This window comes from Homo sapiens, chromosome 21 (genome assembly GCF_000001405.40).
Source record: "Homo sapiens chromosome 21, GRCh38.p14 Primary Assembly".
Taxonomy (NCBI): Eukaryota; Metazoa; Chordata; class Mammalia; order Primates; family Hominidae; genus Homo; species Homo sapiens.
The window spans coordinates 33350100-33365678 of record NC_000021.9 but is presented as its reverse complement, the minus strand read 5'-3'; the positions used below and the strand labels follow the sequence as shown (position 1 = coordinate 33365678).

Here is a 15579-nt window from a genome sequence, read left to right as displayed (position 1 = left end):
GCTATTTTTCTTTCTTTCTTTTTTTTTTTGAGATGGAGTCTCACTCTGTCCCCCAGGCTAGAGTGCAGTGGCTTGATCTTGGCTCACTGCAACCTCTGTCACCAGGGTTCAAGTGATTCTTCTGCCTCAGCCTCCTGAGTAGCTGGGATTACAGGCTCCTGCCACCGTGCCCAGCTAATTTTTGTATTTTTAGTAGAGACGGGGTTTCACCATTTGGCCAGGCTGGTCTTGAACTACTGACCTCGTGATCCACCCACCTCGGCCTCCCAAAGTGCTGGGATTACAAGCATGAGCCACCGCACCCAACCAGATTTTTTTCTTTTTAACATTCAGAGACTATGATCATATAAAAAGAAATATATCAATTTATATACTTTTTTGTTGCAAAGATATACGATAGATGATCAATAAATCTACTGCATGAAGATGAACTTTTGTGGGAATAAGAATATGAATTCAAGGAGGAAAGGAAATGGTGTAAAGTTTCAGAACCCATAAAGAACAGTTTCTGGAGTTTCTTTTTAAAAAAATTTTTAAAAAAATATTTCTGAGACAGGGTCTTGCTCTGTTGCCCAGGCTGGAGTGCAGTGGCACAATGTTGGCTCACTATACCTTGACCTCCAGGGCTCAAGAGATCCTCCTACCTCAGCTTCCCAAGTAGCTAGAATTGCAGGCACACACCACCACACCTGGCTAATTCTGTTCATTTTTTTGTAGAGACAAGGTCGTCTCACTATGTTGTCCAGGATGGTTTTGAACTCTTGGACTCAAACAATCCTCTCGCCTCGGCCTCCCAAAGTGCTGGGATTACAGGAGTGAGCCGCCATGTCTGGCCGAGTTTCTGTAATTTCAAAGTAGACAATGATGGGTATCAAATTGCTTTGATAGGAGATTCCATTGAATGCATTTATAAGAGCGATAAAGCAAGTTTATTTTAAAATGTGAATATTTACAACTTACTGTAAAGTATTTCTTTTGCAACTATTTAAACGTGTCAGGAAATATTTTAGATGTTAATTAAAACATGAAGAAATAAATGGATTTATAAAATTCTCTTGGGGGTAAACAAGCAGAAATTAAGACATGAAATGTTTAAAGTTTACCTCCATCCAATCTCCCTGCCCTACTTCTCAGTCTAAACCTTGGTGTTCACATTTCTTCACTGATGTAGAGCAATGAGGAAGTACTTGCCTTATGTTGACATCAACACAAGCCTACGTGATGAACTGCACACTCACGACAGAGTCTCACTTTGTTGCCCAGGCTGGAGTGCAGTGGTGCACTCCCGGCTCACTGCAACCTCTGCCTCCCGGGTTCGAGTGATTCTCCTGCCTCAGCCTCCCGAGTACCTGGGATTATAGGTGTGTGCCACCATGCCCCGCTAATTTTTGTACTTTTAGTAGAGATGGGGTTTCATCATGTTGGCCAGGCTGATCTCAAACTCCTGGCCTCAAGTGATTCACCCACCTCAGCCTCCCAAATTGCTGGGATTACAAGCGTGAGCCGCCAAGCCCAGTCTGCACACTCACTTTGAAAAAGGATTTGTATAGCTTGTAATAAGACGTTACTATACTTGTATTCTGGGCAGATAAAATAATGGCAGAGAGCAGACTTCCTTTAGAAAAAGGAGGAAATAATGTATCAGAAACCAAGGATGAATCACTTACTGTTAAGTCTGCCCTAATTAAAAATAAATAAGTAAAATAGTGACCTTTTTAAAGCTGGGTGTGGTGGTGCACACCTATAGTCCCAGCTACTCCAGATGCTGAGGCGGAAGGATCGCTTGAGATAGAAGTTTGAGGCCAGTCTGGACAACAGAGTGAAACCCTGTCTCTTAAAAAAAAAAAAATTACTATCTTAACCATTTTACACATACAATTCAGTAGTATTACCTATTTTCAGAACTTTTTCATCTTGAAAAACTGAAGCTTTATAGCCACTGAACAACTCTCCATTTTCCCCTTCCTTGAGCCGCCAGCAATCATCGGTCTAATTTCTGTCTCTAGAAATTAGATTGCTTTAGAAACCTCATGTAAGTAGAATCACATGGTATTTATATTTTTGTTGCTGGCCTATTTCACATAGCATACATAATGTCCTCAAGCTTCACCTATGTTGTAGCACATGACAGAATTTCCTTTTTTTTTTTTTTTTTTTTTTTTGAGACGGAGTCTCACTTTGTCGCCCAGGCTGGAGTGCAGTGGTGCGATCTCGGCTCACTGCAAGCTCCGCCTCCCGGGTTCACGCCATTCTCCTGCCTCAGCCTCCCGAGTAGCTGGGACTACAGGCACCCTCCACCACGCCCGGCTAATTTTTTGTATTTTTAGTAGAGACGGGGTTTCACCGTGTTAGCCAGGATGGTCTCGATCTCCTGACCTCGTGATCTGCCCGCCTCGGCCTCCCAAAGTCCTGGGATTACAGGCGTGAGCCACCACGCCCGGCCTCAGAATTTCCTTCTTTTTAAAGGCTGAATAATATTCCGTGGCATGTGAACACCACATTTTATCTGCTAATCTATCAAAGCAAATATTTTGCAAATAATTTTTCCAATTCCAAAGGTTGTCTTTTCCATTGATTATTTCCTTTTATATGCAGAAGTTTTTAAGTTTGATGTAGTCCCATTTGTCTACTTTTGTTTTTGTTGTCTGTGCTTTTGGTGTCATAGCCAATAAATCATTGCCAAGTCCAATATCATGAAGATTTCCCCTATGTTTTTGAGGGGAAAAATCTCAAACCGTTTTTCCTCTGCTCTCATGCCACAACAATAAACACAGAAGACTTCTGTGACCAAATGCGTAGTGATTTCTCCCCATTAACAAGAAGGCAATCAATTCTGCAGCAGACACTGGTTGGGTATCCTCCTATTTAATTCTGACACTGTCTACCTGGAGATAGCATCAGATCCTGATACAACACCTAAACAAAATTTATTTAGGCAGTTAGTGAGGATAAAAGAGTCCTCAGTAAGGTTTGCCTTTTAATAAAAAGAAGCCCCAAATCATTTCTTTTCTAACAAAAAGAGCCTGAAAACTCAAGCTGCAAACATAGATAAGCAAACTGGAAGCTTGCATAGGCGAATGCCAGCAGCTGTGCCAATAGGAAAGGGATACTTGGAAGTCAGGTATATTCAATATTGAAGTTCCCTTTTCCCTTTTCTTTGTTGCCACGTGTGCAGTAAAAAAGCAGGCAACAAGGCCTGGGCTAGGTAGAGGTGCCATTTGCATAATAACAGATGAGGGTGGGATGGCCAGCCTCTTCCTGTGCTATGTAAATGGAACACCTGGTCCAACCAATCCTCTGTGCCCTACGTAAATAAGACACCGCTTCCTCAAGCTCATCTATAAAAGCAACCGCATCTCGCTGTAAACCCGGAAACCTGTTCGGGACTCCTTCCTCTGCACAGGGAAGGTCTCTTCTTTCTTTTGCCTGCTAAACTTCCGCTCTTGAACCCACTCCTTTTGTGTCCCCATCCTCGATTTCCTTGGCGTGGGGCAACAAACCACACGTATTACCCCAGACAACCATGCTGCTTCAATCTCACAGGTTGAGAGCTCATTCCCACAAGACTGCCCCCTTATTTCCGATGCCAATTGCAAGCCCCAGGTTTTACCTGTTATGACTGAATGACTATAAATTGAGGGTCCCATGGCCCCCTCCTTGTGTTCAACTGATTTGCTAGATTGCCTAACAGAACTAGAGGAAACACTAACTTATGTTTACCGGTTTATTATGAAGGCTATTACAAAGGATACAGATGAAGAGATACATAGGATAAGGTATGTGAGAAGGACTGCAGAGATTCTATGCCCTTCCCAGCAGCCTCTGCATGTTCAGCTATCAGGAAGCTCTCTACTAAAAATAGAAAAATTAGTTGGGCGTGGTGGCAGGCGCCTGTAATCCCAGCTATTCAGCAGGCTGAGGCAGGAGAATTGCTTGAACCTGGGAGGTGAAAGTTGGAGTGAGCCGAGATCGCCCCACCGCACTCCAGCCTGGGCGACAAGAGCAAAACTCTGTCTCAAAAAAAAAAAAAAAAAAAAAAAAAAAGGAAGTAGTGACACGAAACACTGTCTCCACACTCCACCCTTATAACCTCCAGCTGGCACCCTGAATGGTCTGGCCTCTCCCTGGGGGCGGATAGGGCAGGAGACACTAAAGTATTAATTATCTTTTTTGATCATGGCTGTAACTGTTCTGCGCCATCTTCAACAGGTGAGACTAAGGAGGGAATCACAGCTAGTCATCTCAGCCAGGCCAGTAGGGGGCGCAGTGCAGTGATCATTCCCTGGGGCCAAGGCTGTCTCCTTGCAGGTTCATCTCAGCTCTGCAGCAATGCCTACTTCTTTCCATCCGCTCCGAGGCTGTTACTAAGTATGTGGAGCTCCTTTTCAACAACTCGCTTACTACAAAGTCCTGCTCATTAAAAGGCGAAGGTGGTAGTGGTAGAGGACTAGATGGGCTAAGTATTTGCTCAACTGCTCTATCTTGCTTTGTAACTACCAAACCATTTCTGGGTGAGATCATGGGGACACCAGATTCTTCACATCCTTTCCTCATTTGCTCAAGACGAGATAATCACAAACAGAACTTTAAGAAACCACCTGTATAAACATACTTGGCGTATCTTCTGGGAATGGAATTATTGAATAGTAACCGATTGTCAGCCTGAACAGGGTGACTTGTTGCCCTCCAGTGGTAAATTCAATCAGTGTTTGTACCGTCAACGTCCCCGCTCAATCACCGTTAAACACTTAGGCAACCAAGTGTCAGCCACAAAGTTAAAAAACAGTCCTTGTTTTCATGGAGCTTGCCAAATAAATATAAGCAAATGGTATAAAATCCCTTCCCTAGGGAGCATGCTAGACACACCCGCAGGTACAGACACAGATGGGGCATGATGACTTCTCCACGTGTATGCAGTGGAGTTCTTTTAGGGAGATTTCAGAGTGGATGATGTACTTTTATACTACAACATTTAGAATAATCTCTCTAAGTACAATTCCAGAATATTAAAAGTATTATAAAATTTGGGAATAGACAACAGAGTCAAGTACACAAAAAGCCTATTATATATTTAAGGACTATGTTTAGAAAAAAGGGTCCTTTTACTGGAAAGATAGGAAAATAGGTTTTTCTTCTTAACTTTGATGTATCCAGAAAATCTGGGAGGGAGGCTCAAGGGTGGTGAGTCACTGTGAGACGTAATGTTTAATTTAATCCAGCTATTGAGTGATAAAATTTTTCAACTTCCTCCCTTTTCTCAAGACCTTAAAAAAAAAAAAAAACAACAGAACATCTTCTCTGCCAACATTTTTTTTCTTTTGAGATGGAGTCTCGCTCTGTCGCCCAGCCTGGAGTGCAGTGGTGCGATCTTAGCTCACTGTAACCTCCGCCTCCCGGGTTCAATCGATTCTCCTGCCTCAGCCTCCCCAGTAGCTGGGATTACAGGCACATGCCACCATGCTTGGCTAATTTTTGTATTTTTAGTAGAGACGGGGTTTCACCATGTTGGCCAGGCTGGAACTGCCAACATTTTCTTCATCCTAATCATTAATCACTTCTTCACCCACAAAATGTCCTTTGCTAGAACATGAGTTCCAAGTGGAGACAGATCACAGAAAGGGGAGGAAAACTCAGAAATCCTTTGTTATGAGAACTATCGAATTCTCCTCTTGCCTTTGTTCCCCTCAGGTAAAGAAAAAGATTGCTATTTTTCCATCAATATCATACCACAAATATCCACCTATATTTATGTTGCCCTCAAGAGTTGTAATTCTATTATCATCCTACTCAAGAAAAAAGGTAGTGAGAAACAACTGGAAGTTACTGGTATTTTGTTATTACTAAGTACCAGGGCATTTCTTGGGCATTAGGGATGATTTATTTATTATTTGTGTCCTTGTCCACTGTAAAAAAGGGAAGCTTAAAAACACAAGTGTGTGTTCAGGTTCCCAGCCTGAATACAAATTGTATTCAATTTCCGAGTGAAATGTGTCCAGACAGCAGGAGAGATCTACTTATCTGTGAGACTGAAGAGCCTCCTTGGAACGAACTAATCCTGAAAGAAGAACTACTTGTGAAGGGCAAACAGTTTAGTTCAAGAAAGCAAGGCTATGCAATACCACAGCAAACTTCATTCAATGAAGACTGAGCTCCAGCCATGTCTTAAGAGCGGGAAGAAAAAGCAGCAAACAGGCTCTATCTCCACAGGCTCTGGGGACAGTGACGGCTGCAGTGGCTCCTTCAGGATGCTCAACCCTGGGCTCTGGAACACCAAGCACAGGCCTCAGCTCTTCCATGATGAATACCTTTTAAAGGCATCAGCTGCAGCATCTCTGTTGCATACAAATTCACTAAGTACAAAAAAACTCCTAGACTTTTGGGCCCATTGCTTATTACATAAAATTGTTTCCAGCAGTAGGGTTTAAGACAAAACACAAGTGAAATAAAATGTACAAGTTTGTTCCATAGAAACACTGAAAACACGGTTATGTCCTTCTACAATTCAGTAAAACAAACACTGCCACAAACACCCTCAGGTTCACAGTTTAGATTTCATTCATTCAATAATTATTTTCTAAGTACTTTCATTACTGGGGATGCAGTAATGAATAATAAGGTCCCTGTTTTCTTGGAGCCTCTGTTCCAGCAGTGGGGCAGGGGAGACAGACAGCAAACAAAATAAATCAATATACCACGTTAGTAGTCACATGGTTACTGGGTAGGGAAAGGAAAGCTTCTGCACACCTAAACCCCTTAAGAGCAATTTGAGGCTGCTGCAAATATCACGGCCTCTTTTAGGGGAAGATAAAAACTCTAAGTTTTATATATATATATATAAATAGAGATGGGGTCTGGCCATGTTACCCAGGTTGGTTGATCTTGAACTCCTGGCCTGAAGTGATCCTCCTGTCTTGGCCTCCCAAAAGTGCTGAGATTATAGGCATGAGCCACTGTGCCTAGCCCTAACTTATATTTTTAAAAGTAACTTTTTTATAAGTTGCAAATTTCTAGTCAGACTCTTAAAAGTTCACAATTCTAGGGAGCTGTTCTAATTTTTAGTTACAAGGTATATGAATAAGTACTTTAAGTCCATACTAAAGGAATAAGACCTACATCAGGTGGGTACATGTGCAGGTACATATATGAATATATGTTTACAGGCTCATGTCAGAAGTGACACAGGTACATATTATATATAATGTTAATCTGTATTATATATTAATATAAAATTATTTCTGGCTCTAATGATACAAATCTTTCATATAAATTCTTAGATTATATCTGGTCTCTCTAAGAACTATCAATATGCTAATTTTCAGGCGGTTAATTGGTACCCCCAAGTGCATGGTATTTCTAAGTAAACTTCTGTTCAGAAAAAATACTTGTCACTTACAGCTAAGCATATACTGATAAAGCAACATGTAGAACATAATGCAGAGTGGAATGCAACTGCCTTTTCATGTCTAGAAGACAAGGTAAAAACGAGGTGTTTTTTTGTTGTTGTTTTCTGCTGCTGGTGCTCAGCGCTTGTTCACTGAAAACCACAGATGGTCTTAAAGCGTGAAGCCTTGTGCTCCAACTTCCTAGAGACCTAACAATTTCACTGGTGTCTTTTAATGTTAATGTCCGTATTTTCCCTTCTCCACATCCTACAAGGGCATTGCTCCTTTTTAGGCTATCCAGTCTGAAGTACGTTTTCCCAGTGGTGAACACAGGGCCAGAAGTCCTGGACAGCATGATTGAGTTGTGGTAGTCTGAAAAGCAATGGTGGCAGGCAGTCATGATATGCTCCCATCGCCTCTTCAAAGACGCAAACGTCCAAAGTGACAAGGCTTTTCCAAAGGTCAGGCCGGCCGTGCACGGTGGCTCACACCTGTAATCCCAGAACTTTGGGAGGCCGAAGCGGGTGGAGCATGAGGTCAGGAGTCCAAGACCAGCCTGACCAACATGGTGAAACCCCATCTCTACTAAAAATACAAATACAAAAATTAGTGGGGTGTGGTGGTGGGCACCTGTTATCCCAGCTACTCTGGAGGCTGCGGCAGAGAATTGCTTGAACCCGGGAGGCGAGGTTGCAGTGAGCCGAGATCAAGCCACTGCACTCCAGCCTGGGCAACAGAATGAGACTGTCTCAAAAAAAAAAAAAAACAGCCTCTGGTCAGAAAGATGAAAATGTGTCACCATGGGGTTCTCCGGCAGAGAGTGGGTTCTCAGATGAGATTCCTGGGTCTCCTCAATGACCCACCATGCTCTGCTTGAAGCACTCCAGAAGCCAGGCGGCAGGTCTGGGGACATGCACGGTGTGGCCTGCAGACACGTGTATGTGCCAGGCAGGATGTGCCGAGCATCACAGCCCTCCCGAGGGCAGCTGCCTTCAACCTTTTCTTCCACCAGGATCATCTGTTTTTTCAGCAGAAATGACTACTTAAACCAGACTGGCCTTAGAAATGGCCGCTCCCCAGCACGTTCTAACTTTGTCTCTTTTCTTTCACTGGTCCCTGTCGGAACGGTGCTGTGAGAACACTGCCCTAGAGGCCACCAGAATTCCCAGACTTCCTGCCTATTAAGGATATCCATGGGTAATCCCCAGTAGCAAGTAATTTAAAACTAAGTTGTAGGTGCCTTTGGAAAGCATTATGTAATTTCTTAAATTGGGTTTTTCTTCCTAGTTACATTTTTCCCCCTCAGTTCAATGATTTGTATTTTAACGCCAAGCAGGCTGAGCAGAAGGGGTATCTGAATACTGCTAGACGAGAAGCCAGCCTGGCATTCAAAGTGACAGAGACCACCCATAACAAGAGTGGGTTGATCACTGAGAGCTGATTAGGTGCTCAGGCTTCCAGTGGAACATTCTTCTTCCTCTTGCACCAAAGCCAGCGACCTTTTTCCTAGGGAAGCATTCTTCTTCTATGTCAGTCTCCTATCATTGCCATTTTCTGGTCCCAAGACTTCTTGCATACACTATCTTCTGGCATGGCATGTATACTAAAACTTGTACACACTCTCAGATCTTAAAATACAACAATTATTTCTCTAATTAGATAGTTACCTATTTTCTATGACTTCAGTGATTGCAAATTCCAGCAGAAGCTACTGTTCTAATAAGTTTTGAATCAGAGGTCTTAATGCATAGTAAAAGATTGCCTGGCTTTAATCCTAAACCATGTAAGGGTAGATACTGTGATGTGGAAGCCAATGTTCTCGGGATGAATGAACAGAAGTCCCTCAACATTTTTAGGGATCATCTTTCTGGCATTTGCAGCTGTTTTCTAGGGTAAGCTACTTTCCAGAAAACCAAGTGATAACGTGTTCAGACTTTCCTAAATAAATTTCCTAAGGGCCTACCCTCAGTGTTAAAAGAAAAGACCAAATGTTTGAAATATCTCCCGAGGAAGAATGAAACAGAATGTTAGGAATGGCGAACAGACAGGTGTGGCACATGCAGTAGCCAGCAGCATCAGTGATGGACAGGAACACAGACGTCATCCTTAGCCACGGTGCGCAGCTAGCACGGCTGCACTTAGGCTCACAGGAGGAAGACGGGTGGCCACTGTTTTGGTCTGACTCATCTCATCCAATGCAAGTCCGGTGACAGGCTTTTTCATGATTTTACACATGGAAAAGAATGTAGGAAACGTTTGTCTCAACTCTTTTAATTTCTTTTTTTAAAGAGTCTCACGCTGTCACCAGGCTGGAGTGCAGTGGCGTGATCTCGGCTCACTGCAACCTCCACCTCCTGTTTTCAAGCGATTCTCCTGCCTCAGCCTCCTGAGTAGCTAAGACAACAGGCGCGCGCCACCACACCCGGCTAATTTTTGTATTTTTAGTAGAGATGGGGTTTCACCACGTTGGCCAGGCTGGTCTCGATCTCTTGACCTCATGATCTGCCTGCCTCAGCCTCCCAAAGTGCTGGGATTACAGGTGTGAGCCACCGTGCCCGGGCCTGTAATTTCATTTTTAAATAGTTAAGAGCTTGCCCGTATTTTTAGGACCTATGATCTGAAGATGTTTTTTCTTTCCCTAAACAGGGAAACGTCCTCTCTGTAGTTACTGAGAGGAAGGTGAGGACCTCAGGCTCCCAGTGTAACTCCTGCTGAAAAACCTTATACTTGACACAGTTCATTTCTGGTCATACAAAGTCCTGCTGTAGTTCTTCACTTGTTTTACTTTCGCTTTCATCTTCATTAGAATAATTTCCTGAATCTTGGCTAGTTTGGGAACTGTATTTTTTATGATCTTCATCAGTTTGATTAGTTTCTTCTACTGTAGCAATTGTGCTTATATTTTCAATTATGAAACATTTTTCGATTTGTTCCTCAGAAGTTGAAAGCAGAAGATTCTTCAATGGCTGTTCAGAGAAATACTAATTTAAAAAAAGGGAAAGAGTAGAAATCAATTATTTAAAATAATAAAAATTCCTTTTCTAGTTGTAATAGCTTTAGTTTCTTACATCCATTACTGAGAAAACCTATCTTCTGGCATGCATATTAAAAAGTCGCCTAAGAACATACTAATTGCCTTATAATGTTTAAAAGCATCATTAGTGAGGTCACTCATATCTTAGTACCTTCTGTGGTGAGTCTTTGAAGAGTACCTAAGAAAGGTACACTGTGCCATCGGGGTAGGCGGGGAAGAACACGGGAAAGGACAGGAGCGGGCGGACTCTGGGATCATGACTTTTTTTTTTTGAAATAATAAAAATGTTTGTATCCAACACATATATATCCAGAAGAAGCACAATTGAGAAATTATTGGCTATTGTAACTAGTTTTTAAGTCTATTTTAAATAATAGCTATGAATATTACAGTACACAGGAATGACATTTAAAAACTCAGGGGTATAATAGTAAAATTGTTAATATTTACGGAGCATTTTTAGAGTGGTAAGGTTCTTATGGTTTAACTCCTTTGCTCCTAACACCTCTATGGGGTGGTTTACAGCCAAGGGTACTTGCTTACCTGCCCTTAGTGACTTGCTCAAATTCACAAAACCCACCCTAGATGAGCACATGGTTTCCCAGGAACAGATTCTATGTTTAGGCCTTCACCATTCAGTGCTTTCATTTAATATGCTAGCTTCATAGAAGTGCCAAACAAAAAACTGTGATGTGTGTCATAAAAAAAGTCTCATGTTTTTAGTTATTTCATTTTGTATGATTTCATCCATAGAATATACTTTCTACGCTGATAGAATATTTTAGTCTTCTGGATATATACAGATGCTCCTAACTTACAATGGAATTACGTTCTGACAAACGCATCACAAATTGAAACAGCGTAAGTTTGGGACTGTCTGTACTGAGAAGAATCACATTACAGACTTTATTTACTTATTTAGAGACAGAGTCTTGCTCTGTCACCCAGGCTGGAGTGCAGTGGCATGACCTCGGCTCACTGCAACCTCCACCTCCCAGGTTCAAGCGATCCCCCTGCCTCAGCCTCCCGAGTAGCTGGGATTACAGGCATGTGCCACCACGCCCGGCTAATTTTATATTTTTAGTAGAGACAGGGTTTCTCCATGTTGACCAGGCTGGTCTCGAACTCCTGACCTCAAGTGACCCACCCGCCTCAGCCTCCCAAAGTGCTGGGATTACAGGCGTGAGCCACCACGCTTGGCCAAGAATCACAGGCTTTAAACGGTAAAACAAATGCCACAGTGAATCTAGGAATTGCCAGAAAAATATGAAATTAAGGACAATCATTACTATCTCATGCTATGTTATTACATGAAATTACTGTTTTTAAAGTTAATTGACTAAAGCTTTGAAGAAGATACCCAAATCAGTCTCTATTATTTTCTGGATATCAAGAAAACCTACATATATCCTGTTGAAATCAAACACATTTTCTGTTCATTACCTAGCTGTTGACAAAAAAATAAAAAAAGTAACATACCTCATCTATACTGGAAGAAGGTTTAAGTGATGGAAAGAAGACATAATTGATGCATCTCAAGAAGACTTTCGCAGCATAAATGACAAACGGGAGAGCAAATAATGCAATACAAATTCCAACTATAAGCCAAATTTTAGAGGTATTTCCTAAAAAGATATACGTGATATTTAGCATATATTTTGACATACAAATGCCTTAACAGTGCTGACAGCTGTGTGAAAGACTAGCCATATGAAAGGAAATATAAAATCTATTAAATAATACTCTTAAAAATATTTCTGGCAGCACTGAGTCCACAGCAACCATAGGCAATGACATTTACATTTAAAGATTGGCGTGGGAACTGAAGTAAGAGATCCTCAGGGAGAAATACAATATTGACATACAGGCCAAACATGCAAGTATCCTTCAGCACTTTTACACCATACAACTAGCAAAATTTAATAGATATTCTGTGACTAAGCCTCTACCGGTCAACACTAGAAACTGTAAAATAGAAAATGAGACTAAACCAATTCCCACATTAAAAAACTCACAATTGAACTAAGTGATTTCTACATGATAATTATGTTAAGGATTATATTCTAAAAATTTAAAATAGTTTTATTAAATGTTAAAGAGAAATACATTAAGGAAATTAATTATAGGGATACTGGATGAAATATAAAGCATCCAACAACACCGACTTGAGAGTTAAGCGTTACAAATATTTTCTAAAAAGTCTACTTTTGATTCATGTAGTTCATGAAGAAAACATTCTTTCTATATATTTTTTGCAGTAAAGAGAAAATGTTTTACAATTTTCAATGTACAGTATAGAATTACTTTTATTATGTCTAGCTACATTTTTAAAAAAGACAATAAAAGATTCTGACCTGGTTTTGTTTTCTCACATACAGCGTCACTAAAAACACTGCTTTTATTCAGCTTTTCATCCATGGTGTGTGCTCTGGCTTTCACACAATATACAGTCAGTGGTTTCAAATTAGGAACTGTAACATCAGTTTTTTTCTCGATAATTTTTCTCTAGAAAATATAATTAAATCACTGATAAAATTTAGTCACCTCAAGAAATCAGGGAATATGTGCTTTCTCAATTTTTTATGTTCAGTCTAACATTGGCCTCTCCCACGTAGTTGGTATGTATTTTTTGTTTTGTTTTGTTTTGTTTTGTTTTTTTTGTGAGACAGTCTCGCTCTGTCACCCAGGCTAGAGTGCAGTGGTGCAATCTGGGCTCACTGCAATCTCTGCCTCCTGGGTTCAAGCGATTCTCCTGCCTCACCCTCCTGAGTAGTTGGGATTACAGATGCAGATGCCACCACGCCTAATTTTTTTTTCTTTTTGGTAGAGATGGGGTTTCACCATGTTGTTCAGGCTGGTCTTGAACTCCTGGCCTCAAGTGATCCACCCACCTTGGCCTCCCAAAGTGCTGGGATTACAGAGTATATGTGTGAGAAATATAAATTTGTTTTAGATACACCACTATAACCAAATCAGAAAGTTAAAAATGCTGCTGCCAAAAAAGCATATGATCTATTCCTAAGAGAATTCTAATTGATTTACAAGTACATGCCAAGTCTGGGGTAATTGCCATTGTATTACCTCTGATTAGTGACAGAATGGTTAAGAGTAGGGGTTTTGGCCTCAAACTGCCTTATTAAGAGTATCACTTACAGCTGTGTGGTCTTGCAAGCATTATTTAATTTCTCTCTACCTGATTCCCTGATCTATAAAATCGGGACAGTTATTGCTGCTATCTGTATCAGTCAGCTATCGCCAGAATAATGTCTAACAAGCCGGTGGGTCACACCTGTAATCCCAGCACTTTGGGAGGCCAAGCAGGAGGATCACTGGAGCCCAGGAGTTCAAGACGAGCCTGGGCAACATAGCTAGACTCTGTCTGTACAAGAAATTTCAAAAAAATTGGCCAGGCATGGTGGTGTGAGCCTGTAGTCTCTGTTACTTGGGAGGCTGAGGAAATCCCTATTTCCAAAACAACCACCACCACCACCACCAAAAAAGCCTGGGCAACGTGGTGAAACTCCATCTTTAGCAAAAATACAAAAAATTAGCTAGGCATGGTGGCATGTGCCTGTAGTCCCAGCTACTTGGGAAGCTGAGGTGGGAGGATCACTTAAGCCCAGGAAGTCGAGGCTGCAGTGAGCTGACATCACATGAGTGCACTCCAGCCTGGGAAAAAGAATGAGAACCTGTCTCAAAAAAAAAAAAAATAAAATAAAATAAAATAAAAAAATATAGATAACAAAACTGCCTTAACGTTCAGTGGCTCACAAAACGATTATGTAGTTTCTCACTCACAAGTCTACAGACTGGCTGGGCAGCTCCCACGGAGGCTGTGCATGGGGTTTAGGTCAGCTCCAGCAGCCTCTAATCCTCCTTGGACCAGAGACTATGTGGAATACATTTTATTCCTGGCAAATAGGAGCAGTGCAAGAGCCAAGCCAAACCCTGCAAGCACACTTAAGGCCTCTGTTCTCAGCACATCTACTTGGGCTCCAGCATCTACGGTCTGGTGGTGCAGGGAAGAAGTCACCGTCCCAAGTATTTGCCAAACAGCAATGTAACCAATCACATAATCCGGCAGGGTTGTTTTGAAGAATGACTGAGACAATTCATGTACAATACTTAGCATAGTACCTTACATATAAGTATTCAATAAGAGTTTCTATAGTAACAATTATTGATATATTATCCAGTATAGGTTAAGATGGCAACTACAATTTATTGAATCTCTACTACTTGTCCAGCAATGTGCTAGGTATTTTCATATTTGTTACTTCCTTTTAAACCTTATAAACATCCTTTTGAAAAATTTAGTTGTTATGATTACCACCACTTCAGAGAAGAGGAAGCAAAGTCTCCAAGAGGTAAAGCACCCTGCGTACGTAAGGTTACACAGTTTAGCAGTGAGATAGAAATTTAGGTTTGTCTGATCTACAGACATCTGAAAACCGACCATAATTCTCAATGGGCTACATTAAGCTATGGTTACAGGGTTGTCAGACAATTAAAAAGGGAAGCAGCCAAATCAATGGAATTTGCTTAGATTTCCAATAGAAAATGAGGTGAAGTTAAAGAATTTACCAGCCTGACTGGACAGGAGTTTTAAAGGTCGATTCTTGACTACAAGTCCACGAGGGGGAAGTGATCTGGGAAACACGTATATTATCTGACGGTATATATTATCTTTGTCAGTGGTATCTGAATTTTAGGGTTTAGACCAGTGTTTGTCAACCCTTTTTTCATTACCTCCCCAACTAAACAACTTTTTGGGCAATTTTTTCCTAATCCTTCCCCCATCATAAAATTAAATACTAAGGAATAAGATTTTGTTGGGCAAAGCTGAACTTTGGAAGAATGCTTTCCAATGGTTTTGGAGGAAAACAAACAACTGTACTACATAAATTCTTTTGTCCCATAAGAACCAATTTTTGTCCCCTTGGAGGAGCCACCAGGGGACATTTGACAATATCTGAAGATGTTTTTGGTTGTCACAACTAGGAAGGAACACTACTGGCATCTAGTAGGCAGAAACCAGAATGTTGCCAAGCATCCTGCACTGCACTGGACAGCCCCCTCCCAAGGAACTATCCAGCCCAAACGTCAATAGTGCTGAGAATCCCAGGTTTAGATGAATACATGGGAATCATGTTAAAAATGCAA

General features: G+C 41.3%; 1 protein-coding gene across 8 annotated transcripts in view, besides 1 other annotated feature; it reads right to left on the bottom strand.

Annotated features, from left to right (window-relative positions):
- Window positions 4162-4456: a silencer, noted in NCBI's record as "tiled region #14728; HepG2 Repressive DNase unmatched - State 4:PromP". NCBI's record gives its function as "represses a minimal TATA promoter and a strong SV40 promoter by Sharpr-MPRA in HepG2 cells {active_cell/tissue: HepG2}" and the evidence as "EXISTENCE:reporter gene assay evidence [ECO:0000049][PMID:27701403]".
- IFNAR1 (interferon alpha and beta receptor subunit 1) overlaps window positions 5815-15579 on the bottom strand; it is a 35470-nt gene continuing 25705 nt past the window's right edge. For 4 of the 8 annotated variants that reach the window (NM_001384504.1, NM_001384500.1, NM_000629.3 and 1 more), the window contains exons 9-11: window positions 12771-12921; window positions 11896-12041; window positions 5815-10363 (exon numbers count right to left, since the gene is read on the bottom strand). In NM_001384504.1, the coding sequence (NP_001371433.1) occupies window positions 10130-10363; window positions 11896-12041; window positions 12771-12921 (531 nt within the window). In that variant the 3' untranslated portion in view covers window positions 5815-10129. The remainder of the gene's footprint in view (window positions 10364-11895; window positions 12042-12770; window positions 12922-15579) is intronic. The other 4 variants (NM_001384503.1, NM_001384501.1, NM_001384498.1 and 1 more) reach the window with 3 other exon arrangements.